Raw genomic sequence first — 26,790 nt, 5'->3', positions numbered from 1 at the left:
CTCCATATCCATTGGTCACGGAATCTTCAGTCACCATCTCCTCTCCATCTCCATCATCACTGTCTTTCTTAGTCCAGGTCTTTATTGGATTTCCCTTGAGTGTTTCATGCATTCCCTTCTGTCTCTCCAGCCCAGTATACCCCCAACACTCGTCTGCTCCATACTTGTAGCAATGTTTTGTTCCTGGAAAACAAATCTAGTCACTGTATTATTCTGACTGTGCATTTTTTGTTGGATTTTAATTTCCTAGAGTGCTATCAACATTCCTTGTGTAGTTGCCAAGGTCGCCACACCTGGGCCTCACCTTTCTCCAGCCTCCTCTCACTCCTTTGCTTGTCCCAGCCGTTTCTTACCCATGCCTTGTTTTCCCAGGGACCTCATTGCTCCCCTCATTCCTCTCCTTATTCTTCAGTTTTCAGCTCAGCTGTTACCTCTTCTGGCATGTGGTGGAGACATGTTCTATATTTGATTAACTAATAAGTGATAAATGGAAGAACGAGGTAGCCTGTATCTTTTTATTAGTGTGTGTGACAGTGAATAGCAGTGAAATGGTTAACTTGAGAGAATAATTTAGTAGTACATAGCAGGGATTTTAACAAATGAATTAACAATGAATATGTAAGATAAATGTATTTGAAAAACTCAATCTTTTAATTTCTTAGGTTTGAAGTTATGTTGTTATACTCTTATTTTTAAATGTCTGTGATCTGTGTTTTATTTTTGTTAATTTTCCCAGCTTCTAATCCTACGAGGACACCATCAGCCAATTACTGCTATGGCTTTTGGAAATAAAGTGAACCCACTTCTAATCTGCTCAGCATCACTGGATTATGTTATAATGTGGAACCTGGATGAATGTAGAGAGAAAGTACTTCAAGGTAAATGAAAATCTAAAACATGTTTTTAAAAACCTGCAAAAGGAATAACTCATCCTTCAGTATACTTGGTACCACCCAAGGGGTGTTTCCCTTGGGTAACAGCAGTCCCTCGGGGGGTTTGGGATAATTTTGTACTCTCTTTACCTTGAACCCAGGCATGCAAGCAGGCGCTTTATATGGGAAGGGCCCCAGGCCATTCAGACTTACGGACCTTTGCTGTCTGTTATGCTGATCTTATAGGCTCATTGGTTTTGATCTTATGTCCCTTTTTATTTTAAGAACTGTCCATTTTGTATCAACCTGAAAACATGTAGGAAAGTTGAAATATTCTTTCCTTGCACAGCAAGGGGTCTTGAGCACCTGTAATATTTCAGGCTGGAGACACAGTGGTGAATAGGAAGGGCTTGGTCCCAAATCCTGTGGAAGTCACAGCTCAGAGTTTGAGAGAGACACTGTGTAAGCCAGCGACTGAGTGGCTGTGAATTGTGAGTGTGCAGAGGAGAAGGCAGATGAGGCCAGGGCAGCGTGCACATGCATGGGAGCCTTTGAGAAGCAGGATCTCGGAGGGGCATGTGCGCTGAGGGTGAGGGTGAGAAGGGATGAAGGTGCCAAGGCCCTGGGAAGAGTGAGAACCTGCCTGTGTGCTTGGAGCATGCTGATGTTAGGAGAGTCTCATCTGAGGAAGTCGAAAAGTTAGGTGGGGACCACGTTAAGGAATTTGAGTTTTGTGCAATTATATAGAGAAGTTAGAGGATTACATTAAAACATAAATGCAAAGAGACTATAAATCTATGTATTCTATGTAGGGACATGAGTACGTGTCCCTCTCTAGACTGGGTGGCTGTGGGACATGAACATGTGTGTCTCTCTAGGCTCCGGGTGCCTGTGGGACATGAGCACGTGTCTCTGTCTAGACTTGGTGGCTGTGGGACATGAGCACATGTGTCTCTCACAGGCTCTGGGTGGAGTATATCTGCATTTTGCTGGTGATAGGTCCATGGTACACACTAGGACCAGATGACCTTGCCTGCCATTTTTTCTTTCACCTGTGTGGATTTGCATGACGGGCTCTGCATCAGGCTGCAGCTGCTGCACATGTCCGGGTCTTGGGAACCTCCTGGCTGCTTGTGGGTGTCCTGTCATTGCTTAGTCCCTGGAGGCCTGGGTTGGATAGGCTCCTACTCCTTTCCTTCCAATCAATGTTAGCTGAACCTATACATGAGGGTGGACATGGGGTTGGATGTGGGTGAGAAGCATCGAAACATGCAGTTTGATGTGCATGATTCTCACTGCACAGGTACTGCAGCCTCCAGAGAAAGGCATCTTCGTGTTTCGATGCTGAGAGAGTCTCTGCAGGGAAGTGCTGCATTCCCCAGGTTTTCAGAAGACTTCTGTATATCCAGTATTTTTGATATTCTTAAAGAATCAAAATCACATCAAAGCTCATTGTCATTCTCTCAGTAATTTTAGAATAGAGGGTTACATTCTCAGTACTTTTCTCAGATTAATGTAATGCTGAATGCATTTGGTAAACTGGCACTAATGGTGAAACTCACTCTAGGGCTGGTCCCTCGAGGGACTGTCATGGGCTCGCTTTTGGGAAAGGTGCTGTGTTTACAGTTGAGCCTGGATGATCATGTTGTTGCCGTGTGTGCTGGAAACAAAATATTCATGCTGGATATTGAGGTAAGATTGAAATTCACGTGGATTTCACGGAAGGGTTTAGCTGATGGGGCCTCCCAGGTTCTGGGACCTTGCCCAGCGGTCTTTTCTTTTTTCCTGTACTCCTTTTTTTTTAAGCTATATCTTCAATTTAGTTTACTTTTATAAAATCATATCTTTATCTTGCAATTGGAAAACCACTGGTATCAGATAGCAATATTTATATAAATATTAAAACTCTTTATGGAATCTGGGTGTCAGGTATGACTTTAGAGAAACATGTTCTGCAAAACTATTATTTCTCAGATATTCCCTGATTGTAGGCATCCTTCCTAGCATAGCGCTTTTGTTTATATCTTTTATCAAAATGTTCTTTTCATCAAGAATCAGACTTTTCCCACCAGGGTTAGTTAAAGGAAATGTGTCACCTCTTCCTGCCTGTGTGATTTCGACCTCGTGTGTGACTAGAACAGTCAGCTGCCCCATTGCAATGTTAGAAAGCAGTGTTAGAAATCAGGAAGTGGGAATCTAAGGGAACACGAAGGAGGACTTTTGTTTCCTCTGAATTGTTGCTCTGCCCAAGCCTGATTTTGTAGGTGACCCCAGGCCTGGGGTCGTTTTGTCAACATGGCTCACAAAGCTGTTGGCCTGAATAGCTTTTCTTTTGATAGCCACTTAATAAACGTAGGCGAGGAAGGATGTTCGGCATGGAATGTGAATTGGTTCTCATGGGCCTCATGTGTAATAGGCGTTTTGGGAGAGAAGACATTTATGTCTTCAGACTATTTTTGGACTAATTATGAAATTAAGGCTCATAAATTTAAAAAGTTCACATCATGAGTTAAGCCACAGAGAGATGATGGGAAGTATCTAGGAGTTAGGTAAAGGGCTTCACACTATTTCTAGTCTGTCTGTGAAAGCTTTCTGGATATGTTGGTGTTTGAGCTGTATTTCATGTTTTGTTGTAAACATCCTGTGATAGATTAACATTAGGCCACCCCACCATTTATAACAAAACTACCATTAATGTGCAAAGAATTAACATTGTTGTGTCAGGAAAAGGAAAACCAAAGTGAATTAGGAAGAAGCAGAAAACTGTTAGTGTTTGAAGGAAGATACTGGGTCCCAGATGGAGAGAACCATCAGCCTGGGGTCAGGTTGGAGCCACACCCCTGAGTCAGGCACATAGCAGGTGAGTAAGCAGGTGCCTGCTGCAGATGTGTGTGCAGCCCGTGAGATCCTCCCCACGCTTCCTTAGCAGCAGGCGTGTCAACTGAAAGACACTTCACTCGGGGAGAATGACTTTCAGACATGAGGAATGGTTGTCACGTGAGTCCGTGAAGTGCTCACATTCTTTTAACAGCATACTCAACAAGTCAACAGTTTATACCATTTGATTTTAAAGATTTCAAATGAATACTGAGCATTTCCTGGTAAAAGGCACTTTTTAATCAACATAAAATGTCAAAAGGAAATAACTTAAATATTTTTCAGGATATGATGTTATTCATATCATAGACAATGGACTAGCTTTATTTTATAGAAACTGGAGAAAATGGAAATGTATATTTCATAACACTCAGTGTCATAACTCTCCCTATTCCTACACAGGTTATAGTCTTGCCTTTTATTTTTAACAATCTGATGGTAACTGGCATAATGTACTCAGTATTCTAAGTTGTATTTGTTGATGGCGATATGTCGTATTACTAAAGAAAGTCTTCCAGAGTTAAATGTCTGTTTGTAAGTTAAGTCACCATATATATACATGTTTATTTTTTCTGCATGTATATTAAGGGATATTTGTCTTATTTAGATGGAGTGCTGTAAAATTCAAGAACAGTGCCCAGCACTTCGTGCCTGGAGTTCCCTGGGGATATTCTCAGGGCGATGACTGACCATTAGGAACCCCCGATGCTCTCACTACTCCATTCCTCAGTCATGCTGTTCAAGCCTGATTTCCATATAAACGGGAAGCCCTGTGTGTCTCCAGCTTGTGACGCTGACTTCTGGGGTGCTGTCTTGGCTGTCGGAGGTTTTAGGGACTTGAGGAGGAAAGGGTAACTCATGAGCGCCTATTGCCGCACCGTCTTGTCTTGTAGGAAGCCCTAGGTGGAGAACAGATGCTGAGGGATTGGGAAGGCAGAGCAGTACATTCTGAGTTACAGGCGGGGAGCCTCAGGGCAGATGCATGGGGCAGCCGGTGGGGAGACAGGATTCCTGAGGAGACGCCAGCTTCCTAATTCGCTCAGGGTTAGCTCCAGTCAGTGTCGGCTTTTAACACTGCTGAGACTGTGCCTGTCGCCTGAGCTTTCCTCTTAGCTCAGACACCTGACTTTTCACCCTTGGTTTATATACAGAGAATTCCAGCTTGAACAGAGGAATAATTTGGGCTTTATTTTAATAGCAGCGATTTTCTGTGACATACATAGAACGTCCTGATGTTAATAACCGCCACAAAGTCCCACCACCGACCTTCCTGCACACATTCTCTCAGACTCAGGCTGTTCGGGCCGAGCTGCAGGGCCACCTGGGCCCGGTGACTGCGGTGGAGTTCTGTCCCTGGCGAGCAGGCACCCTCATCTCGGCGTCTGAGGACAGAGGCTTTAAGGTGAGGGATGGACGCTGGATGGCGTTCCCGCGTGGCACGTGCTGTGGAAAGAACTGTGGTGACGGGAGCTGTGCGGTTGCTTCACGGCCACGGCCGCCTGAGTGATGTTGTTTCTACCTCACTTCTGCAAGGCGCCCGCTATCCTGATTTCCACAGAAACGCCAAGCCCGGATGTTTTGCCGGGGCCGCTGGCTGGGCTTGGATTCCTGACAGGACGGTTCTGCGGCCCCGGATTTCCCACAACTGCATTCAGGGCCTGGGAGCGCCCAGGCACGAATTCTTCTCCACGGCATTCCCAGGCCCAGAGCAGAAGAGCCAGTCCCAGGGTGTGGAGGGTTCAGTCGGCACAAAATGAGGCTCTAGAAGAAAATGGAATGCGAATTCAGTTTTTATCCAGCTGACATCAGTGTGCGCCTGACAGTGTAGACCTGACCAGCGAGTGTGCACCTGACCTGACAGGGTGTAGACTGCTACAGTTTCCGCTTGGTGCCTCTATCTTGGCAGCGTTGACCAAGTGCCTGGGAACTGTTTTTCACCTTGTTTCATTTTTGTTTCCAATTCTTCAAATCCACCAGGGTTTTATTTATGGAAGTGATGTTATTTTTTTCTTTTTGATTCTGACATATTTTATGGTGTTACTACATTTTTATTATTTTTGTGCTCATTTTATTGTTTTCTGTTTTAGATAACCATTTGTGTTGACTAATCTGATAGTGAATAGTACTGTTAGCTTCACCTGTTGCAATAATGGCAACGTTGTTACCTCTTCTAAAGAATCCTGTGTTTATCCAAAGGTCTGGGACCATTGTACAGGATCATTAATATACAGTTCATCTGTGTTATCAGGTAAATTTAAAACTTTCATGTTTTCTGTAAATAGGTTGTGTGTAACCCACTTTTTCTAGAGCATATTACAGGGCATAAGATGGAGCTGGGACATTCGAGTGGATCTGAATGAGGCAATCTCAGACTTACAGCCCTTCACTCCCGTCCACACAGGGAGAGGATTCACTTAACAGTGAATGTCCTTGATGTTTTTCACTTAAAATTAAATGGATGCTTGGAGTCTGGGCCTTTCTGTTTTGGAGGAGTAAAGCACGTTTGCTGTCAGATAAAATGCCTGAGTACCCAGGGAAGTTGAGCCTTCTGCTCTCTGTAGAAACACATCCCAGAACCAGCGGTGTTGGTAGGGCCAGGACTGCCCTGTCCATCCAGCGTGAGCTTGGGCGTGCGCCACACCTGGCCTCATGGTCAGGTCCTGAGCACGTGTGCAGCTCGTGAATGCCAGGGTCCTTGCGTTCTTCCCTCAGATGGCTTTCTGTTGGTAAATGAAGCTGGCACACGGCCACACAGCTACAGCATTGATGGTGCAGGCGTCCGTCCGCGGAGCACGGCATAAGGAGCGGTCTGTGACGCCCCAGCACCTCTCCCGTGCAGCCCCTGTGCTTGTCCTCCTGGCATCTTAGGGCACTGGTTTCCTGCATTCGCTTTGCTCCCCTTGTGCACGTTCTGTCTTCCCAGAAGAAGAGAGTTAGGGAATTAAAAGGAGAGCGTTCTTCCATGCGGTAAGTGACATGAAAATGCCACTTAAAGCATATACAGATACTTTGGTGACCTGGTAGAGTTATTGTTATATCTTCTCAAAGATTTAACATTCTTTCTGAGGTTAATGTATCCATGTGTGGACTATGGTGCTGTAATGACTTAAAAACATTGCTTTCTATCAGGGTGAAGCACATTTCTTGGAAGTACGTTGGAATCTTTTTTCTGAAATTAATTATATGGAATTACTGTTCGGTTGCCAAGAACAATGATACACTTGATCTTTGATTTCATTTATAGTTTAATTAGGATATGTAGTATTTTTCAATATTCATTTATCTAATGCTCCTAAATTACTGACAGTTTAGAGTAAGTTTTAAATGAAATGACATCCTAGGCAACAATTTTTTTTTAAGGAAACAAGACATCCATTTACTTGCTGTTTTCATCACTAAGTCCATAATTTTATTATTTCTGGCTGACTCAGGAATCCTTCTGCTCCAAGTGCAACGTCGATTAAACGGCAGTGCTGCCCTCCCTCTAGGCTATAAAGCAGCCGGAGCTGGGCCGTGGTTTAAGCCCACCAGGCCTTCTGTCGGGAGGTGGGATGGGATTCCTCGGGACCCATCTGTGGTGGACTCACCGGGCAGCCTTTTGGGGTGATGTCCCCAGCCTTCATTGTGTTTATGGGGTTTTCAACATTTGTATTCATGTGCAAGTTTTACTTTTTGGTGAAGAAATTATTTTGGAATAGTTCAAACTTGACTAACAGAAATACTGTAAGTAAATATTACGTGTAAAGAGATAAGTAAAACTGACAGTTCTCGGGTTAATTGGTACCAGGCACTTACAAAGCTAAATTTTCCGATGTTCCTTTCACCAGCATATCCTCTTCTCAGTTTATTCATTGATGCAGAAAGCAGGCAGCTGGTCACCGGGTGTGCTGACGGCCAGGTGAGACAGCCACAGAGTTAAGTTCCAGTTCCCAGACATGCCTGAACGTGAGCTTGTACACAAAGGTCTTTGTCTTCATGCTACTTTGTATTTTCCTGCGATTTGAAAAAACCTGTCCACCTCAGTGCTGAGAACGTGACCTTCTGTGGGTCTCAGCGTCACTGTGGGTTCAATATGGTCCTGGGCCCCCTGGTCTGCGGAGGAGCTGGGTCTGCATGTCCCAGAGCTCCATGCGTGGTTCTGGAGTGCAGCAAAAGTGAGGGCCACTCACGTGACCCTGAAAACCTGCTGAGAAGAGGGCTGTGAGCAGACGTCCCCCGCTCCCACGGGTGCTGCCCGCGCCCCGGAGAGGCGCCCTGGACGGCTCCTGTGTGGCATCCCCCGTGCCCGCACGCTGCCCGCGCCCCGGAGAGGCGCCCTGGACGGCTCCTGTGTGGCATCCCCCGTGCCCGCACGCTGCCCGCGCCCCGGAGAGGCGCCCTGGACGGCTCCTGTGTGGCATCCCCCGTGCCCGCACGCTGCCCGCGCCCCGGAGAGGCGCCCTGGACGGCTCCTGTGTGGCATCCCCCGTGCCCGCACGCTGCCCGCGCCCCGGAGAGGCGCCCTGGACGGCTCCTGTGTGGCATCCCCCGTGCTTCTTGTGCTCCCCTTTCCTGTCATCTTTACACACTGTTGAAAAACCTGAAGATGTTGGCCTTTTTCAAAACATTTTTTAGGTGAGCCTTTTAAGTTCATTTCACAAAGCCTGGATAAAGTTGCTGTTTTTATAATTTGAAAAAGATAATTTTGAAAACTTAGATTTTTTTTTTCCTTTTGACAAAGTTGACCGCTGTTGCCTTGTCTTCTCACCCAGGGCATGTGGGACGTGCTCTTGGCTGTGAAGCTGTGGGGTGTGTGCAGAGAGCCTGGGGCCTGGGGTTCCCAGAGGAGCATCTTGGGGAGGCCTGCACAGTAGGATCCTGCCCATGTGCCCTGAGCTGATGTGCCAGCCGTGTGAAAGTGCTCTGACACCGTGGGCCGTACGGAGGGCCTCCAGAGGGGATGTTGAAGGCAGGAGACAGCTGTGCCGGGAGCCTCTGCAGGCCGTGGAGGGCCCGTCCTGTGACGTGTCTGCCCTCCCTGCTCCACCTCTGGTGTTGCTGCTTCTGCGTCAGGACCCTTGCTGCAGCGCCATGTCTGCATCTTCTTTGCTTTTGTAGCTTTGGATCTTCAGTTTGATGGATGGACACCATTATCGTCGTGTGGCACGGGTTGACCTAAGGAAGAAGACAGAGACTTTCTCCACAAGAAGGGTTAAGTCTGGGCTGTGCAGCCAGCCAGGTGGGTTGCTCAGACCCTCCCTCAGGCCTCCCACTTGGCCCAGATCTTTCACCAGGCGCCATGTCAAGGGCCCTAGGTCACACAGGGGAGAGAGAGATCCCAATGTAGGAGAAGCCAAGGGCTGCAACCTCAGAAAACCACTGAGGCCCTGCAGGTCATGTGAGGGGTGGGCCATCAGCAGATGGAGGCACCTGGTGTGGGTGGGGACGGGGGTGAGAGGCTTTGGTGAACAGAAGAGCAGAGGCACCAAGGCAGCAGCTTTGCAGCTATGGGTTGCTTTCCTGCAGTGGGTGACCAAGGAGGGCAGGTCATGCTGATCAGAAAGGTACACTGCATGACTCAGATGCCACCTGCACCTACCCAGCACCCTCCACGTCCCCACCTGGCCTGTGAATCTTAGACGCCACCTACACCTGCCCAGCACCCTCACATCCTCACCTGGTCTCCTGCGCATCACAGATGCCACCTGCACCCGCCCAGCACCCTCGTACTCACCTGGTCTCCTGCGCATTGCAGATGCCACATGCACCCACCCAGCAACCTTGTCCTCACCTGGTCTCTGGCTGTCCAGAGTTGCTTCCTGTTGACGACAGCTCTCCTCAGGTGCGCTTTTTATCTCCTGTACTGTCACAAAGGAGCTGACCCTCTCCTGGAAGAAAATGTTGATTTTACTTTTCAATCCAGGGGCCACCTCTTTCATTGGTGTGTGCAGCTGACGTTTCATATTACAGAAATCATCTCTGGGCTCACAGCCTACACTCTCTTCCTCATTCTGGTTACTCATTCTTTCTTTTAGGTTGTGTTTTTTTGTAGATGACTTTAAACTATTTCTTTTCATATTAGGTCTGAAATTACTTTTATCCAGTATACCAATTTTTTCCTGATGTTTTAAACCTTGGTTTTTGTTATTTATTTGATAATATCTACTGCTGAAGGAAATCTTAAACTTAGTTTTAGGAAATATGAAGTTAAGTTCTTTCAATTGATTATCTCCTCTTTCCCACTCCCTTGCTCTGGTTCTGCACTTGAAGTTGCATTGCTCCCAGGTAGCGTCATGCTGGGTGTTACCTTAGTGCTTTCCTCGATGCGTGATCTGAGTGACTCCATGGTGCATACACATCATCCTGGGTGTTACCTTTGTGCTTTCCTCGACGCGTGATCCGAGTGACTCCGTGGTGCACACGCGTCATGCTGGGTGTTACCTTAGTGCTTTCCTTGACGCGTGATCTGAATGCTCCGCGGTGCACACGCATCATGCTGGGTGTTACCTTAGTGCTTTCCTTGACACGTGATCTGAGTACTCCGCGGTGCACACGCGTCATGCTGGGTGTTACCCTAGTGCTTTCCTCGACACGTGATCCGAATGCTCCGCGGTGCACGCGCGTCATGCTGGGTGTTACCTTAGTGCTTTCCTTGACACGTGATCTGAGTACTCCGCGGTGCACACGCGTCATGCTGGGTGTTACCCTAGTGCTTTCCTCGACACGTGATCCGAATGCTCCGCGGTGCATGCGCGTCATGCTGGGTGTTACCTTAGTGCTTTCCTCGACGCGTGATCCGAGTGACTCCGTGGTGCACACGCGTCATGCTGGGTGTTACCTTAGTGCTTTCCTCGACGCGTGATCCGAGTGACTCCACGGTGCACATTCACTGCAGCATCTCTGTGTGGCAGTCCTCAGCCTTTAAACTTGACGGATGCATTTAAGTTCACTTCTTAGATTCTCAATAATTCTGTCCCTAGAAGAAAGCCAGCTTCCCTCTACAAGTGCTCTGGGAAAAGGAGAGCAGGTTGAAGTAACATTTCCTGTACTGAGACTTGCACCCTGTGATCTCTCACTCATCCCAAATTCTGCATGTGGATGGTAAGTATCAAAAACTTTGCCTATGCCACATAAAGGAAACCTCTTAAATTCCTTAGATGAACATTAGGTTCATTTTCTAAGAATGACTGAGATAAAACCAAATTATTTTGGTCTCTGATTATTAGTAACTTCATTCTTGGGATTGCATGTTTTAAATCTTAAAGTTGGTAAACTTGGGCAATGATACGTAAGTGTCTTTAATAAAAGGAATTGGATGATTTTTAAGTTTATTACCAAAGTCTAGGCAGATCTTTGCCTCTGTGATACAACTTTTTCTTTAGAAAGAGGAAATGGTGATTGGAATGGCCTAGACTTTCCCATCTACCGCTGTGCTATACATTACACATTTAAAGTTAACCCCAGACTAATTTTATTTATTTCTGTGCTCAGTAGAAATATTATTACATATTTGGCAACATAAGGAAGTACTGTTTAACTGTGATTCAAGAATATATTACAATTATGTTTACTTCTCCTCCCCAAAATGCTTGAGATTAGGGGGCAACCTTGCTTTGAATGGCCTTGGCCGTTGCTTGTCTTTGTCTCTGTGCAGAGCTGCCCCTGGAGCAGAATATTCCCTGCTTGGTCCAAACCACAGAGAGTAAGCAGGGTGGGCATGGAGGCTGGACACGGTGCTCCCGGTGGGTGCATGGACCTGAGGCATTTTGAGGCTTCCCTGGCTTACCTCGAGCAGAGGGAGCCCTCAGAGCTAAGCCAGAGCCACATGACCCATTCTGTTGACGATGGTCGTTGGGTGAACCGTGGACTGGTGCTGGTGGATGCCCAGGAGGAGCCCAGGGTGCTGCCTGGGGCGGAGCTGGAGAGGGGAGGTCTGGAAAGCAGGTTCCAGCTGGGGGCCTCTGCCAAGTCCATGTCCAGCCTCCCTGGAGATGGCTTCTCAGTGTATTAACAGACCCCGTTGGCATTGGTATTAACTCTGCCGCCTCGGGCCAGCTACTTTCCTCCTGGAGTTGGTTCCTTATTCACAGAGGTGGGCAGCTTGTGTGGCCTTCAAGTCTAGTCACTCGGAGGCTACCTGAGCAGTGGCCTTGGCCCAGGCACTGGCACTGACCTTTTCTGTAACCTTAGAAGAAAATAGAAACCACAGAGGTCAGAGCGAGCGTCTTCACAGACATTAGCAGGTGCCCAGGGGATCACCACAAATGCGTTGGTGGCACAGATGTGGCCAGCCTGGCACAGATGTGGTTCTCACTGGCAAGAACCTGCCCCGGCCCACGCTCTCCACTCCTGCGGAGAGCTCACAGCCAGGCCAGGGGGCGCACGTGGGGCCCAACGCCCACGCTCCCCACTCCTGCGGAGAGCTCACAGCCAGGCCAAGGGGCGCACGTGGGGCCCAACGCCCACGCTCCCCACTCCTGCGGAGAGCTCACAGCCAGGCCAGGGGGCGCACGTGGGGCCCAACGCCCACACTCCCCACTCCTGCGGAGAGCTCACAGCCAGGCCAGGGGGCGCACGTGGGGCCCAACCTTCAGGAATAAGATTATTGTGTATTCTTTTCTTTTTTTCCTTAAATCAGTCTTTCTTCTGAGAACACCCGATGTGTGTGGATCGGAAGCTCAGTGGGCTTATTCGTATTTAACCTGGCAAACCTGGAAGTGGAAGCTGCTTTGTATTACAAGGGTAAGATCTTTGATTTCAACGCCATGTAACTGTAATGTTTTCCTTTGACTGGTATGTGGGGTAGTGTAAGTGTTTGTGGAGAAGGCCTTGCCGTGTGAATCTGAGGATGAGATGCTTCAGTCACAACTCAGCATTGAGCACGTGAGCACCTCTGTGCTGCTGGATCCGAAGGACGAGGGCCCTTCCCGGACCCTCGGGCACTCAGCCCTGGAGCCACTCCTTGCCTACATCTGCCAGGCCCTCGCCTGGCACTCCAGGCCGCCCGGGCCCCAGCAGCGTGGAACACCTGCAGGAACACCCTTGGGAAGCCCCTGGATTCTCCACCATCCTTAGAGAGCCTCCCAGAGCCCCAGGCTCGCACAGCGTAAACCCGGCCGAGGCGCACTCCTCTCCAACCCTGGCTCCCTTCCCCAGTTTCTGCCAGCTCCAGAAATGTAGGAATAGTCACCTCCACCCCCACCCCCTCCCCCAAGACCCCCATCTCATCCCCCCACCCCTCCTAACTCCATGGATGCCACCAGCCGCACTCTTTCTGCCCAGGAGCCCAGGCGACTTCTGAAAAGCAGGCTGGATTCCGTCCCTCTCCTCCACTGCAGCAGGGCCTCCTCGGCGGCCTCCCGGGCACTGCTCCTCTCGGTGCCTCCTTTCTAGCCCTGAACGCTCAGACCTCTGTGGGGCTGTGGGATGCATCTGTGTCTTCACACACGCCCTTCCCTTCAGCCGCCCATCCCTGCCCCTCCCCAGCTCAGCCAGGCGCAGCTTCTCCTTGAAAACTCAGCCTTTCCTTCCCCCAAATGGTCACAGCTCTAATTACACATTTCCTTTCTGATCTGGTGCTGGACATGTGGCTTCTCCAGGAGGCTGAGCTGCAGGTCTCAGTCCGAGTCACATCCCAGCCTCAGAGCGGAGCCTGGCATGTGTGACGCTCAGGGCCTGGTGTGTGTGTGGTGTGTGCGCTGGTGTGTGTGTGGCCTGGGGCCTTGTATGTGTGAGGATGTGGTGCACAGCCTGCAAAGTGTGTGGTGGGGCCTGGACTGTGTGTGGTGGGCTCTGGGCTGTGTGTGGTGGGCTCTGGGCAGTGACTCCGTGTGTATGTGCTACCTCCCTCCCCATCATGTTCTTCCTGGTCTTCGCTCAACTGAAGATTTCCAGAGCCTCAGCATCCTGCTGGCCGGATCGTGTGCCCTGAGGAACCGCACTGCGGATCAAAAGGTCAGTCCTGAGACGCGGCCCTCCCTGTCTATGAGACGTGCCTCTGATTTCTTCTTTCTTCAGAGTGATCCTGTAACGACTGGCTGAGTAAACGGGATTTTGTGTGTAAAAACGTTTTAGGAGTGACAGGGCGATGTCGCTGCTATGAGAATGAAGCAGCTGTTAGGATACGTGTGCGGATGCACGTTTCGTCTGCTTTTACTGGGTGGTGTCGCTAACGATGTTGAAACCGCGTCCCTGCAGGTGCTGTGCTTGCTGGCCTCCCTCTTTGGCGGGAAGATTGCCGTGTTGGAGATCAACCCGGCCGCGCTAGTCAGGGCTCAGCAGTGCCCCAGCATGGGGCAGAGCCTCTCGGTGCCAGCCAGGTAGAGTGTCTTCAAGTGTGGAGTGTGTGTGTGTGTTCACCAATAAGTGCCATCTGGATTTCTATGTTCAGAAATAAAGATTAGAAAACTCTGAGCTCTGGCCGGGCGCGGTGGCTCACGCCTATAATCCCAGCACTTTGGGAGGCCGAGGCGGGTGGATCACGAGGTCAGGAGATCGAGACCATCCTGGCTAACATGGTGAAACCCCATCTCTACTAAAAAATACAAAAAACAATTAGCCAGGCATGGTGGCAGGCGCCTGTAGTCCCAGCTAGTCGGGAGGCTGAGGCAGAAGAATGGTGGGAACCCGGGAGGCGGAGCTTGCAGTGAGCTGAGATCGCGCCACTGCACTGCAGCCTGGGTGACAGAGCGAGACTCCATCTCAAAAAAAAAAAAAAAGAAAACTCGGAGCTCTGCCAATGCTATTTGGAAGAAGGTTTTTCGTGCTGTTGCTTCTATCTTGTTGAAAACGAAATAGTTGATAGTTTATTTTAATTGAAACACTATTTCATAATAGAATGTACATTATAAAACAGCGCTTTTATTAAGAATATTTTTTTCCTACAAGGATAAGAATACACTTGACAGTTTTCATTTTCAGATACTGTTATGTCCACAGCTGCAGGAATCAGTCATTTGGAACTGTCTTTAAAGTGTGTGTCACTGAGGCATTTCCATCGTATCGTCGTTTGCGCTCCTAGTTTCATGGGGCTTGTTTCTGTTTCAGCTCCTGTGTCCTACCGACCTCTCCACTGTATCTGGGAATTGCCAAGGAGAAGAGTACCAAGGCTGCTAGTGAACAGCGACGTGGTCAGTACAGGGTGCTGTGAGATCTAAGAATACAAGGCTGATGCGTTCTCATTGTGGTTAGGGCTGCTGCATTGCTTTGCGAATTCTTATGTTAAAATATGCATTCCGTACTTCCTTCCATCCTTCTGTCCTTCATGTCTCTGCCTCTCGTGCGTGTTCCATGTCCGCTGTGGTGGGGAACTTGCTGGGTGCTTCGCCTCCTGAATTGGCCATCACTCATGGGATTCAGCAACGTGCCCAAGACTGACCGCTGTTCCTCTGGTGCCTGTTGCAGTGGGGGTGCAGAGTGGACCTTCAGCAATTACTGATTGTGAGAACATTTTTTTCCCCTTTTTTCTCTGCTGAGGAATTTGAAAGCAGATCCCGAGCGTGTGATTGTACTCCTGCACACTTGAGTGTGCATTTCTGGAACATGTATGTTTTTACCTAGCCACCATGACGTTATATCAAAACCAGTCATTTTTTGGAACCTTGTATTAGCAAGGCCATAATAAATTATTCTTGATTGCCTTGACAATATTTCCTATTGGTTTGTTCTGAGCAGCAGCCAAACAAATCCACATGTTGCATCTTTCAAATATGTATAAATTAACTTTCACTTTAAGATGGTAAACGTCATTATGTTCCCTTTCTTTCAAGGCTCACTGATAATTCTTTTTTCCCTTCAGTGACCAGTCTAACCCTTTAATTGGTCTTGTGAAACCTACTGGACCTCATTTGAAAAACGGAGGCATTTCCGCAGCCGCCTTTCACCTTCTGCCTGGTAGCTGCCTGACTGCTGGGCCTCACCTCCCAGAAGGGCCATCTCCCCGGCCAGCGACCTGGCGACCCCACCCTTGGGCCTCTCCCCGGGCCGGGCTCGGCTAGGCTGGGCTAGGGTTCCTGCGTCAGTCCGTCCTCAGACATGGGCTGTGTCCTTCATGCTCCCACGCAGCCCTTGAGCTTGACTTCGGGGACTTCTGGCCTCTCCCTTCCCTACCAGACTTTTTGAAATCAGGCCTCGAACACCTTCTGTGCCATTCCTGGGTCTCACTGACTGTGTGGTTCTGACCCGCCTTGCAGATCGGGGAGAGCTTTCAGGTGGAAGGCGGGGACTCAGAGCTGAGCCTGGGGCTGGAGCTGTTTGCTTGTTCGTCCTGCCATGGCGGTCCCTGCTGCTGGGGGTTTCCAGCAGGTCCCCCATTCCTCCGCCCTGTTTCCATGAAAGACCCACTGTCGGTGTGAACTGCCCGTCTCCTGCCGGTTTATGCTCTGCTGCCGTCCCATCACCATGGGGACAGTTCTGAGAAATTGTGAGAATGAAGGCCGGGGGGAGGCGGCCAGGCTCAGCCAGCATTGCAGCCTCTGGGCCAAGCTGACTCCTCGGCTGGGAGTGGCCTCTGACCTCCTTCCTCCTCATTAAGTCATGGAACTTCTGCCTTGTAAGGAGGTGCTAATTATTCACCATTGAAAAGGCATCTTAAATTGCAAAAGACACTATAGCAGAGAAGACAACAGCAAGTGGGTGTGAAGATGGCTGAGAAGAGAATGCCCCTGGGCTGCTGCGGCCTAATGCGGAGCTGGGAGCTGTCGGAGCTGGGAGCTGTCGCCTCCTCCTGGGCCATCCCAGCCTCCTCCTCCTGGGCCCTCCTGGGCCTTCTTGGCTCCTTCCTCCTGGGCCCTCCAGGCCTCCTCACGTGATCCCTCCCGGCCTCCTCGTTCTCAGCCCCCCGAACCTCTTCGTCTTCCTGGACCCCACAAGCCGCCTCACATGCTTTCCCCCCACCCCGCCTGGTCTCTCTTGGCCCTGTCAGTCTCACCTCCTACCATTCATCCTTAACAATTGACAGCAGCAGAAGTCAGATAAACCTCCAGGTGGACACAGGCAGGTCCCCAGGGAAACCCAACCTCCAAACCAAAGACAGCTTCACGTCTGAAAGCCAAACCACATGTCTCGGATGAATCCACAGACGGGATTGAGAACCTCTTTTCCTGTTTGGCATGCTTTCCTCTGATTGGCCCCCACCCTTCACCTATTTTACATATTCCCACTCCTCCCTAATTGGTTTTTGACACTGCTGTGCCCATCTTTGAGTTGTACCTTTTTTTTTTAACCTTTTTTGCATAGTCACAAACCAATCAACATGCACTCCCCCATTCTGAGTCCATAAAAGCCCCAAACTCAGCCACACTGGGGGACCACCTGACTGAGGGTAGGGGGCTGCCCTCTCCGGGTCCCCTCTCTGCTGAGAGCTGTCACTCAATAAAACTCTCCAGCTGGGTGCAGTGGCTCACGCCTGTAATCGCAGCACTTTGGGAGGCCGAGGCAGGCGGATCACGAGGTCAGGAGATTGAGACCATCATGGCTAACACGCTGAAACCCCGTCTCTACTAAAAATACAAGAAAAATTAGCTGGGCGTGGTTGGCGGGCGCCTGTAGTCCCAGCTACTCAGGAGGCTGAGGCAGGAGAATCGCTTGAACCCAGGAGGTGGAGGTTGCAGTGAGCTGAGATCGTGCCATTGCACTCTAGCCTGGGCAACAGGGCGAGACTCCGTCTCAAAAAATAAAAACAAAAAAAACTCTGCCCTGCTCACCCTTCAGTTGTCAGGCCAGGCAGGGGCATCGCCAGCCTCGGGGGTCTCCAGCTGGCAAAGAGGCACCGAGAAGTCTTTCATCACAATGAATCTTCTCATATGTCTAATCTGGGGGCTGTTTATATGTAGAGTAATATTCTTTCTTAAGTGCGTTCTTTTCTGATTTGTCTTTTTCACTTCGTGTCTGTGAGATTTGCTTCAGTTGCTATACAGCGTTCTGTTGTCTGGATATACTGCGGTTTATGTACCCACGATTTATTCAGTATTAACAGACGTTTGGCTTGTCCCAGGCTGCTGTTGTGAGCAGTCTTTGCAGCACCCTGCTGTACCCTGGAGCCGGGAGGGCTGCCCTGATCTTCTGTGCGGGCAGCTGCTGGGCTCGGGGTTCCCCACATGGCAGGTCGATGGCAGACGATGGCAAGGGTCTTCCCAGGTGGCTGGCCAGAGGTTACTCCAGCAGCACACGCCGCCTCTCCTGCCCGGAGCTCTTGCCATGGCTGCATGTCGCTGGACGCTGGAATTTCTGCTTACCCAGTGTGAGACAAGAATAGCACTGGGTGGTCACAGGAGGACGGAAAACCCAGGCAACAGCGAAGACAGGAACGTGGCAAAGTAACCACAGGGCGGCAGAAAACCCAAAGCGAGGGAGAGAGAAGGCGAACCCACCAGCGTGATGTGTCCTCTGTTCTCCCGGGAAAACCCGAGTAAGAGACAACGAGGCTGTGTTGGGGGTTACCTAAAAATCCCCTCCTTTCCCAGAATACCTGATGATGATCCCGCACTGTCACTAAAGAAACACCCGCAAAAGAACACAAACTCCTCTGTGCGCGCTTCCTTCTGAACGGGGCTCCTCCTCCTGAGCGAGCCGCCTCCTTCTGAGCGCCCCTCCTCCTCCTGAGCGCGCCTCCGTCTCCTGAACGCGCCTCCTTCTGCTGTGCGCGCCGCCTAACCCTGTGCGCGCCTCCTCCTGTGCGCGCCTCCTTCTCCTGTGCGCGCCTCCTCCTCAGCTCGCCTGGCTTCTCACTTAGGCGTGTGCTTTCGCTTTGCAGCAAAAGCTGCTGCTTTTCGCATCTAAATTCTTGCTCTGAAGGTGCCAAGAACCTGGAAACCGGCTGGGAGTGGGGTCTCACCAGCCTTTGGAGACCCTCCTGAGCCGTCTGGCAACCAGTGACGATACAGAGGTGTCTTATGATTTCGTTTGCGTTTTCCTGGTTAAACATGAGGTGGTTATTGCTTGTGTTTAATCAGATACGCTTTACTGTCATAAGCCTAATTTGCATTTATTATCTCTTCGCTATTATTTTGTACAGGATCTTTTGGATTCATGTTCTTGCGTGATTGATTTCTCAGGAACTTTCTGAGTTTGGTTTTGGTGTGCCAGCTCCACAGAATGAGCTAGGGAGAGCTTTCTCTGTTTCTATACCTGAATGCTTGGTGTAATATTTTAAATTAGGTATATGATTGATTTTGAGTATAAAACCAGCCTTGTATGTCAGGGATAAATCCCATGATGTATACTCTTTTTGTTGTGTTGTTGAATTTGGTTTGCTAATATTTTATTGAGGAGTTTTGCATCAATTTTCATTAGAGAAGTGGGCCTTTAGTTTTTTGTTTGTTTCTGTTTTGTTTGTTTTTGTATTTGTTTTTTGGAACTGAATGAAGTGCACTGTGTTCTCTCAAAGGAGATTTGCGTTGCTTTCTAGGGGTTTGGGTGCACAAATCCACAGCTTCCGGCCTTTTAAGCCACTTGTCAAGGTCACTCTGACTGCAGGGCCAGCAGCCTGGGACCAGTACAGACCATCACGGCACAGGCTTCCTGGGCTAGTCGGAGAAGGTGAAGCTCGCATAGTGGCCAGGGACTTGGCCTTTCTGCCCTCACCTCCCTGAGGCCACACAAATCCTCAGCCTGTGTGGCTGGAGGTGCCGCCATCCACAGCTCACCTCAGTTTCAATATCTTGTCCTCATTTTCTTTTCCCTTTTTACAAAATGAAGCACATATTTCTTCTGGCTTTTGTGGCGTTTCTCTGTGGGAGAGGCCATCTGAATACCTAACCAGTGTGTTACCCAGATAATGAAAGTTAGCATTCACTTTTTAAATAGCAGTACCCTCAAAAAATTGAAAAAGTCCTATGTAGTAATGATGCTAATGAAGAATTGAAAGTGTTTATTAGGTAAATAATATGGTCTTGCACATTGTTTATGTGGTAAAGACTGATTTTTGTAGTCTTGTAAAAGACATTTTCTGTTCATTTACTTTTTTCATTATAAGATATGTATAAAATAAAACTTGCCATTTTAACCATTTTTAGGTGTATGGTTCAGTGGGATTCCATACCCTCACATTGTTGTGCAATGTAAAAAAGCCTTTTTGAACCATTTGCTTAATTAATAACAAAGGAATTTATATGTATATATACATTTCTAGTAAAAAATTTTTGGAAACCTTGACTAACCAATATTAATTAAAATGGCTAATAGTTGGAATCATACTAGACTGTTCAGATGGTTTTCCAAGGTTCTGACTGTTTCCATGGAAAGAAACTCCCCTGTGAGAGTGGGCTCCATGCTGAGTGGCGAGCAGTGCCTCCTGCGTGTCCAACCCACGGGGTCCGCTCGTCTTGTCTGCCGCCATGGACGGCTGCGCATTTGGGAAGTGAGATCTGTGCACACAACCTGTCGTGAAGGAGACACGAGTCTCCTGATTTCACCTTTAAAACTTAACATGTTTGTTTCTTTAGCTTTTCTTCTTACATACGCTTCATTTAGATCACTCCTTAAAAGTGGAATTTTTAAACTTTTTGTCAACAAGGGTCATCTCGTTTCAGACTAGCATATGTGATGTACTGTGGTTCGCAACTAACGATAGCATTTAGAGTTTAGAACAAAACCTTCAGTAAGAACAATTATATAAATAGTTTTAATACAGAGATAACTTTTCTGTAGCAAGAAAGTGATTAAATTTTAACATGTTGATGTTTTGGGTGTAGTTTAGAAAATATTCCCATGGAAAATTAATGGATATGTTTCATTTACAGTAATGCTATAATCCCCAAATTTGCCTCCCTCTACTTACAACACTTACCCTTGTGGTAAGTTCACGTGATGTCAGAGTTTTTGTCAACTGGTAGTGCTATGCAAAATGTAAAATAGGCTAGGCCGGGCATAGTGGCTCACGCCTGTAATCCCAGCATTTTGGGAGGCTGCGGCAGGTGGATCACGAGGTCAGGCGTTCAAGACCATCCTGACCAACATGGTGAAACCCCCTCTCTATTAAAAATACAAAAATTAGCCAGGCGTGGTGGCGTGTGCCTGTAATCCCAGCTACTTAGGAGGCTGAGGCAGGAGAATTACTTGAACATGGGAGGTGGAGGTTGCAGTGAGCCGAGCTTGCACCACTGCAGTCCAGCCTTAGCGATAGAGCGAGACTCCGTCTCAACAACAACAACAACAACAAAACAACAACAACAAAACAACCAACTTGGGCTATTTTCTTATCCTTTTAATCCCTTGATTTAATCTTTTGCTGATGATGGTTGGTGTGACTTCAGATATGAAACCTCTTAAATTTATGGTCAGGAATTCATTCTGTTTGTGTGAATGTTTCTGTTTTGAAGAGACTCTGTTCTTCTCATGTCCATCATGAGATGCTAATTTTAAGTGTTTGTTTCTTCTTTAAAATTGCCTTTCCACAGCTGCACGGAACGTCATGAAGGACCAACGCCTGGTTTTCCATAGTAAAGTTAGGTCATCTGGTTATGCGTCAGCACCACAGTGAGTGAACTCATGTCAATGAGAGACAGAAATGCACCTGCGTCACAGATGCAGGATTTTAACACAAATAGGGACACACATACATCCCCGAGGGCCACAGTATGGAGAGAGGACATAGCAATAGAAACAGAAGTTAAAATGTGGTGGGTTGGACCCCAGCATGCCAGTTAGCAGCAGCTGCAGCAGCAAACGTTTCCTGAGCATTCACCATGTGCTGGGCCTCAGAGCAGTCCTCCGAGTCCTTTTCTGATAACGTGGTGGTCCCGGGAGGTGAGGGGAAGCTGGTGGGGTGTGGGGCTGGGAGAGCATGACGATGCTGTAAACAAACGTGGCCCATCAAGGCCGGACACGGTGCTCTTCTTAGAACACAGCTCTGCCGTAACATCAGAGCACGATAACAGAGTGCATTTAGGCCCTGAGTCCCTGAGTTAGCAAGACTGCTCAAAGGCAAGGAGATACAAAGCAGCTGAGAAACCATGAGGAGGCCTTGAGATTCCCTAAACCTTCAGGAGCCCACTCCTCAAAGGCAAATGTGACTTTTCTGAAGAAAATGCAGACATATCCCCCGCCTCCTACCTCACCTCTTGACTTTTTATGTCTCTTAACATAGCGGCCAAAATGGCTCTGTTACCTGGAGTCCCTGACCGCAGCGCACACGCTTGTCTCCCTGGTTGGCACTCACCTCTACCAAGCTCCCGTCTTCATGTGCCCCTGGCCACTCCCCCACTCCCCCACTCCCCCCCCCCGCCCCGCACTGCTGTGCTCCAGGCAGAAATCCCAGGCCACTCTGTGTAAAGACAGCCTCCAACCCTCCAAGCTCTTCTGTGCCCCTGGCCACTCCCCAACTCCCACCCCTCCCAGTGGTACTGCTGTGCTCCAGGCAGAAATCCCAGGCCACTCTGTGTAAACACATCTTCCAACCCTCTAAGCCCTTCCCTGCTCTGCTTGTTCTCTGGCTTGAACAATGGTGACTGTGTCTTATTATCTGTTCTTTAAACCCCTGTGCCTGGGACAGCACTCAGCACCCTGGACCCTCTCATAAGGCACTTTTGGAGGGATGGATGGATGGAGAGATGGACAGAAGGGGATGGAGGGATGAGAGATGGATGCGTGTGTGCATGGATGGTGGGGTGGAGGGATGGAGAGATGAGAGATGAATAAGTGGATAGATGGTGGGGATGGAGGGATGGAGGGATGAGAGATGGATGAGTGGGTGGGTGGATGGAGGGGATGGAGCAGTGCAGAGATGAGAGATGGATGAGTTGGTGGATGGATGGTGGGGATGGAGGGATAAGAGATGGATGAGTGGGAGCATGGATGGAGGGGATGGAGGGATGGGGAGATGAGCAATGGATGAATGGGTGCATGGATGGAGGGGATGAAGGAATGGAGGGATGAGAGATGGATGAGTAGGTAGATGGAGGGGGATGGAGGGATGGAGAGACGGATGGATGAGTGGGTGGATAGATGAGGGGAAAGAGGGATGGAGAGATGAGAGGTGGATGAGTGGGTGGATAGATGAGGGGATGGAGGGATGACGGATGAGTGGGTGGACAGATGGAGGGGATGGAGGGATGCAGAGATGAGGGATGGATGAGTGGGTGGGTGGATGGAGGGGATGGAGGGATGCAGAGATGAGGGATGGATGAGTGGGTGGGTAGATGGAGGGGATGGGGGGATGCAGAGATGAGGGATGGATGAGTAGGTGCATGGATGGTGGGAGATGGAGGGATGGAGAGATGAGAGATGGATAAGTAGAGGGATGGATGGAGGGATGGAGAGGGGCGGAGTTGAGAGATGGATGAGTGAGTGGATGGATGGAGGGGAAGGAGGGATGCAGAGATGAGAGATGGATGAGTAGATGGAGGTGATGGAGGGATGGGGAGATGAGGGATGGATGTGTGGGTGGATGGATGGAGGGGGAATAGAGGGATGGAGGGATGAGAGATGAATGCATGGGTGCATGGATGGTGGGGGATGGAGGGATGCGGAGGTGAGGGATGGCTGCATGGGTGGCTGGATGAAGGGGATGGAGGGATGGAGAGATGAGATATGGATGAGTGGCTCAATTGATGGGGGGGATGGATGGAGAGAGATGAGAGATGGATGTGTGAGGGATGGATGGCGAGAGATGAGAGATGGATGTGTGCGTGGATGGATGGAGGGGATGGAGGAATGGAGGGAGGGGTGGAGGGATGAGTGAATGGATGGGTGATGGTTGGATGGATGAATTCTGCTCCAATGGCATCTGCAGCTTTGTATGGATTCCCCAGTTCTGCCATATTAAGGCATGTCATCAGTGTCAGGCTTTGTGTGGGAGCCCCGGGGGATGAGGGGTTGATAGACATTGGTGGCCCTGAGTGCCAACCTGGGGCTTTGGACTTAAAGGAAAAGCCAAGCATCAGGGTCCTATTCCAGGATTTTAAAGGAGTCACAGGACAATGTGTAGCAGGGCGACATCTCTGAGGTAGCATGAGAGACACAGGAGGGGAGGAGGTGACTTAAGGGCTGGAGGACAGGTGGGAGGGGCCCGAAAGCATTTATGCAGACGTCTATATCTATGTATATAATTTTTTTCACTGTAAAATATAAATCTCTTAAGAAACTTAGACCTCTTAATATTTGAGAGTGATATTAGAGTTTTCTTTCCACAGTGTAACTATGTTTTCACCAAAGACCAACATCAAGAGTGAGGGGAAAGGATCTTCAAGGAGCAGGAGCAGCTGCGCACGGTGTGTGATGTAGCGTGCATTCCAAGTACATTTGAAATAACCTAGACCTTTCCAACACTTTAACTGGTTCTTTTCCAAACAGATATAAAACCTTATATGTGTACATGTGTTTACACACATATGTACACAGATATGTATATCTATATTATTTATATATCTTTTTAGCCAAATTTCTTTCCTGTTAATTTTTCAGACATGGTCTGTTCTTACCACCTTAACAATTTTGAAATAATAAATTTTTGTTAAAATTTAGTTTAGAAAATGCCGTAGCCGATGCTCCTCCCTGTCATGCAGGTGGATTGGGTGAAAATGTTGGGGCCGTTGTAGTGCCAGGTGCTCATTCTGAGTGGGCGTGGCCCACGCCATTGGGGAGGGCACCTGTCCACGGGACTGGCTCCACACTGGCTGCGGCTCTGACTGTGGGCATGTCCTGCATACACCTGGGCCCCTTGTGACTGGACAGGGAAGAGCTTGGGGGACATCTAGGGTCCCTCCCAGTCCTAGATTTAAGATTACATTGTCCGAGGAGAGATATGGGCTACTGCACTTAAAACTCATTTTAACGTACATGGGTCTACTTTGCAATCACTGCATTACAGAGCGCCAATATTGATTTTGCCCGCATTCACTGCATTTTTCTGCAGCCTTGCTGCTGTCCTGCCACGTTCTGCCTGATATTACGCACGTGCTTGCAGCAAAATGCATTCAGGCCTTATGCAGGTGAAATGTGGCATCAGAGTTCCGTTCAGCTCTGATTTTTTTGGTAATTTTTTCTGTGAGGGCCCCACTGTCCAGACAGAGCACGCTGGCTCTTCTGCATTTGGCTCTCTTGGGCCTTCTGCTGGGAGCTGCTGGGTAGCAGTGGTGGCGAGGCCCCAAATGCCACCCAGGGCTCGGGCGTGTGCACGGAAGGCATTGGCATGTGCACGGAAGGCATCTGTAGATGATTTGAGTGATTAGCATTACAACGCCACCCACAGCGGCATGAGACTGGAAAGTGAAATTCATTTTCTCTTAGTGAGAACCCTCACCCCCAAATCGTCACAGTACTCACATGAGTTTATATGAAACACAGCAAATCCTTGCTGTTTTATATGTAAAATATGTGTCTTTTTTGGCAATGTGGAATGTAAGTCTATTTAAAAGAGTTATTTCCTGATTTTGAATATAAGAGTCTAAATATAGACATATAGATAAATATTCAAGTTTACTGGAATACGATTATACATGTAGATGGGGGGAAGCCCACTTCGTTTCTTGCTTATGTTTTACTTCTAATCTCACTGTGAATGTCTCCCGATCACCGTTACCTGTGGCCTTCCCTCAGGGAGGCATACCCCGTGGAGTGCGCTGTGCCCACCAAGCCCGGCCCCCAGGTCGCTGCCGCCCCCACCTGCACACGTGTATGCTGCATCCAGTACTCAGGTGCGCCACGTCCTGCGGGAGCTGGGTAGCATTTCATTGTAAGAGTCTTTGATTCTGCCCACTGTAAACATTTTTCTATTGTATCATAATTGTAAATATATTTTTAAAAACCTTGGTTACTTGAAGTTGCATGGCATGGTTTGTGTCTGGATGAAAACCGAGACTGCGTTTCACTCGACTGTAGTGAGGGTGATCTCCAGGCATCTCACCCCTGCGTGGGCACAGACACTGGCACTCACTCACTAGCAGCGAATTTGCTGTTCTGTGTCCAGCTCCTCCGGGGTTTGCTCTGTTTGTCTGACCCCTCCTACAGACATGTTAAGGTGGGAGGGCTTCGGCAGGCAAAGAAGCTAATGGAACAGTCACTGCTTCCCTCTGGAGACGCGGCCTCTGCTCATGGATGGGCTGGAGGCGCCAGGCTGGGGATGGCATCATGCAGGCTGCGCACAGGATTCCTTCCTTACCGGACCCTCAGCCGGGACCTTTTCCTGCAGGGCTGAGTGTGTCTCGGCTTCCGTGACAGTCGCCCGATTCTCACGTGTGTCCTGATAATGCCTTCACCAGGCTTCTCTGGGACCTCAGCACTTTTTTCTAAATAGTGCTTGAAAGAAGGGAGGAGCAGCTTGTGAGAGTGCTCTTGACCTCTTGACCTCAGCTGGGTAGTTCCACCACCTGAACGCCTCTCAGAAGTGAGATTTCCTTGCAGGCAAGCTGTGCCCCTGCCTGGGGCTGGACACAAAGTCCTATCTGGGCCGGTACCCTGCCCTACCCTCATGCCATCTGTCCAGAGGGTTGAGTCGCCTAAGGGTTACCATGTACCACTCCGCTAAATTCCCTTTATTTTATTATATAATTGTAGCCAAAGAAGTTTTAAAGTCATTTTCGGAAATTAGATGTGTAGTATTATCAGTAAATGTCCTTCTGATCTTTGATAGACTGAACATTCCTTCAGTGTTATCTGCCCTCAAGTTTGAATATTGTGGGTGACATCTATCATTTCTTTCTTTTCTTTTTTTTTTTTTTTTGAGACAGAGACTCACTCTGTTGCCCAGGCTGGAGTGCAGTGGCACAATCTCGGCTCACTGCAATCTCCGCCTCCTGGGTTCAAGTGATTCTCCTGCCTCAGCGTCACGCGTAGCTAGGATTACAGGTGTGCACCACCATGCCTGGCTAATTTTTGTATTTTTAGTAGAGATGGGGTTTCACCATGTTGGCCACGCTGGCCTCAAAACTCCTGACGTCCGGTGATCCACCTGCCTCAGCCTCCCAAAGTGCTGGGATTACAGGTGTGAGCCGCTGCGCCCAGCTCTATCATTTATTTCTACCCTGTTTTTGGAAAATGTTTCAACATAACTGCTTAGCCAAATATGCCTCTGGGCAATCTGCTGATTTGAGGCAGGCTCCAGGACCTTGTTTCAGGGGCCATTGGC

At 49.0% G+C, this 26,790-nt stretch overlaps 1 protein-coding gene across 29 annotated transcripts in view, besides 10 other annotated features; it reads left to right on the top strand.

The window, feature by feature from the left end:
* Positions 1-26,790, top strand: part of WDR27 (WD repeat domain 27) — a 275,610-nt gene that overhangs the window by 28,897 nt on the left and 219,923 nt on the right. For 18 of the 29 annotated variants that reach the window (XR_007059231.1, XR_007059230.1, XR_007059233.1 and 15 more), the window contains 14 exons: positions 737-878; positions 2,440-2,564; positions 4,948-5,151; positions 5,946-5,997; positions 7,577-7,647; positions 8,847-8,967; positions 10,709-10,829; positions 12,367-12,470; positions 13,615-13,682; positions 13,926-14,047; positions 14,775-14,857; positions 21,125-21,203; positions 23,858-23,935; positions 25,263-25,360. Coding sequence is in view for 24 of the 29 variants with exons in the window: in XM_011535688.4 (XP_011533990.1) it covers positions 737-878; positions 2,440-2,564; positions 4,948-5,151; positions 5,946-5,997; positions 7,577-7,647; positions 8,847-8,967; positions 10,709-10,829; positions 12,367-12,470; positions 13,615-13,682; positions 13,926-14,047; positions 14,775-14,857; positions 21,125-21,203; positions 23,858-23,935; positions 25,263-25,360 (1,468 nt within the window). In the remaining 5 variants the exon portion in view is untranslated. Of the gene's footprint in view, positions 1-736; positions 879-2,439; positions 2,565-4,947; positions 5,152-5,945; positions 5,998-7,576; positions 7,648-8,846; positions 8,968-9,254; positions 9,571-10,708; positions 10,830-12,366; positions 12,471-13,614; positions 13,683-13,925; positions 14,048-14,774; positions 14,858-15,086; positions 15,372-15,525; positions 17,119-21,124; positions 21,204-23,857; positions 23,936-25,262; positions 25,361-26,790 lie in introns of those variants that run through there. The other 11 variants (XM_047418590.1, XM_047418589.1, NM_001350625.2 and 8 more) reach the window with 8 other exon arrangements.
* Positions 4,638-5,138: an enhancer, noted in NCBI's record as "H3K4me1 hESC enhancer chr6:170068091-170068591 (GRCh37/hg19 assembly coordinates)". NCBI's record gives its function as "activates a minimal SCP1, AML or CMV promoter by ChIP-STARR-seq in primed H9 embryonic stem cells {active_cell/tissue: H9 hESC(primed)}" and the evidence as "EXISTENCE:reporter gene assay evidence [ECO:0000049][PMID:30033119]".
* Positions 5,139-5,639: an enhancer, noted in NCBI's record as "H3K4me1 hESC enhancer chr6:170067590-170068090 (GRCh37/hg19 assembly coordinates)". NCBI's record gives its function as "activates a minimal SCP1, AML or CMV promoter by ChIP-STARR-seq in primed H9 embryonic stem cells {active_cell/tissue: H9 hESC(primed)}" and the evidence as "EXISTENCE:reporter gene assay evidence [ECO:0000049][PMID:30033119]".
* Positions 5,983-6,171: a silencer, noted in NCBI's record as "fragment chr6:170067058-170067246 (GRCh37/hg19 assembly coordinates)". NCBI's record gives its function as "represses an EF-1alpha promoter that drives an FKBP-Casp9 reporter gene in an ReSE screen in phorbol 12-myristate 13-acetate-treated (for megakaryocytic differentiation) K562 erythroleukemia cells {active_cell/tissue: K562(+PMA)}" and the evidence as "EXISTENCE:reporter gene assay evidence [ECO:0000049][PMID:32094911]".
* Positions 9,117-10,316: an enhancer, noted in NCBI's record as "BRD4-independent group 4 enhancer chr6:170062913-170064112 (GRCh37/hg19 assembly coordinates)". NCBI's record gives its function as "activates an origin of replication core promoter dependent on BRD2, P300/CBP, MED14 and CDK7 cofactors, and independent of BRD4, by STARR-seq in HCT116 cells {active_cell/tissue: HCT116}" and the evidence as "EXISTENCE:reporter gene assay evidence [ECO:0000049][PMID:35650434]".
* Positions 11,715-12,214: an enhancer, noted in NCBI's record as "H3K4me1 hESC enhancer chr6:170061015-170061514 (GRCh37/hg19 assembly coordinates)". NCBI's record gives its function as "activates a minimal SCP1, AML or CMV promoter by ChIP-STARR-seq in primed H9 embryonic stem cells {active_cell/tissue: H9 hESC(primed)}" and the evidence as "EXISTENCE:reporter gene assay evidence [ECO:0000049][PMID:30033119]".
* Positions 15,409-16,204: an enhancer, noted in NCBI's record as "NANOG-H3K4me1 hESC enhancer chr6:170057025-170057820 (GRCh37/hg19 assembly coordinates)". NCBI's record gives its function as "activates a minimal SCP1, AML or CMV promoter by ChIP-STARR-seq in naive H9 embryonic stem cells {active_cell/tissue: H9 hESC(naive)}" and the evidence as "EXISTENCE:reporter gene assay evidence [ECO:0000049][PMID:30033119]".
* Positions 15,863-16,032: an enhancer, noted in NCBI's record as "experimental_91362 CRE fragment used in MPRA reporter constructs". NCBI's record gives its function as "activates a minimal promoter by MPRAs in K562 erythroleukemia cells, with activity observed for the non-introgressed 6:170057282 variant allele {active_cell/tissue: K562}" and the evidence as "EXISTENCE:reporter gene assay evidence [ECO:0000049][PMID:34662402]".
* Positions 16,205-17,000: an enhancer, noted in NCBI's record as "NANOG-H3K4me1 hESC enhancer chr6:170056229-170057024 (GRCh37/hg19 assembly coordinates)". NCBI's record gives its function as "activates a minimal SCP1, AML or CMV promoter by ChIP-STARR-seq in naive and primed H9 embryonic stem cells {active_cell/tissue: H9 hESC(naive and primed)}" and the evidence as "EXISTENCE:reporter gene assay evidence [ECO:0000049][PMID:30033119]".
* Positions 18,206-18,255: an enhancer, noted in NCBI's record as "active region_25463". NCBI's record gives its function as "activates an Ori minimal core promoter by ATAC-STARR-seq in GM12878 lymphoblastoid cells {active_cell/tissue: GM12878}" and the evidence as "EXISTENCE:reporter gene assay evidence [ECO:0000049][PMID:35858748]".
* Positions 25,105-26,098: an enhancer, noted in NCBI's record as "H3K4me1 hESC enhancer chr6:170047131-170048124 (GRCh37/hg19 assembly coordinates)". NCBI's record gives its function as "activates a minimal SCP1, AML or CMV promoter by ChIP-STARR-seq in primed H9 embryonic stem cells {active_cell/tissue: H9 hESC(primed)}" and the evidence as "EXISTENCE:reporter gene assay evidence [ECO:0000049][PMID:30033119]".

Source organism: Homo sapiens, chromosome 6 (genome assembly GCF_000001405.40).
Source record: "Homo sapiens chromosome 6, GRCh38.p14 Primary Assembly".
Lineage (NCBI taxonomy): Eukaryota > Metazoa > Chordata > Mammalia > Primates > Hominidae > Homo > Homo sapiens.
Note: the sequence above shows the minus strand (reverse complement) of the source record. Positions and strands in the feature narration are given on the sequence as shown.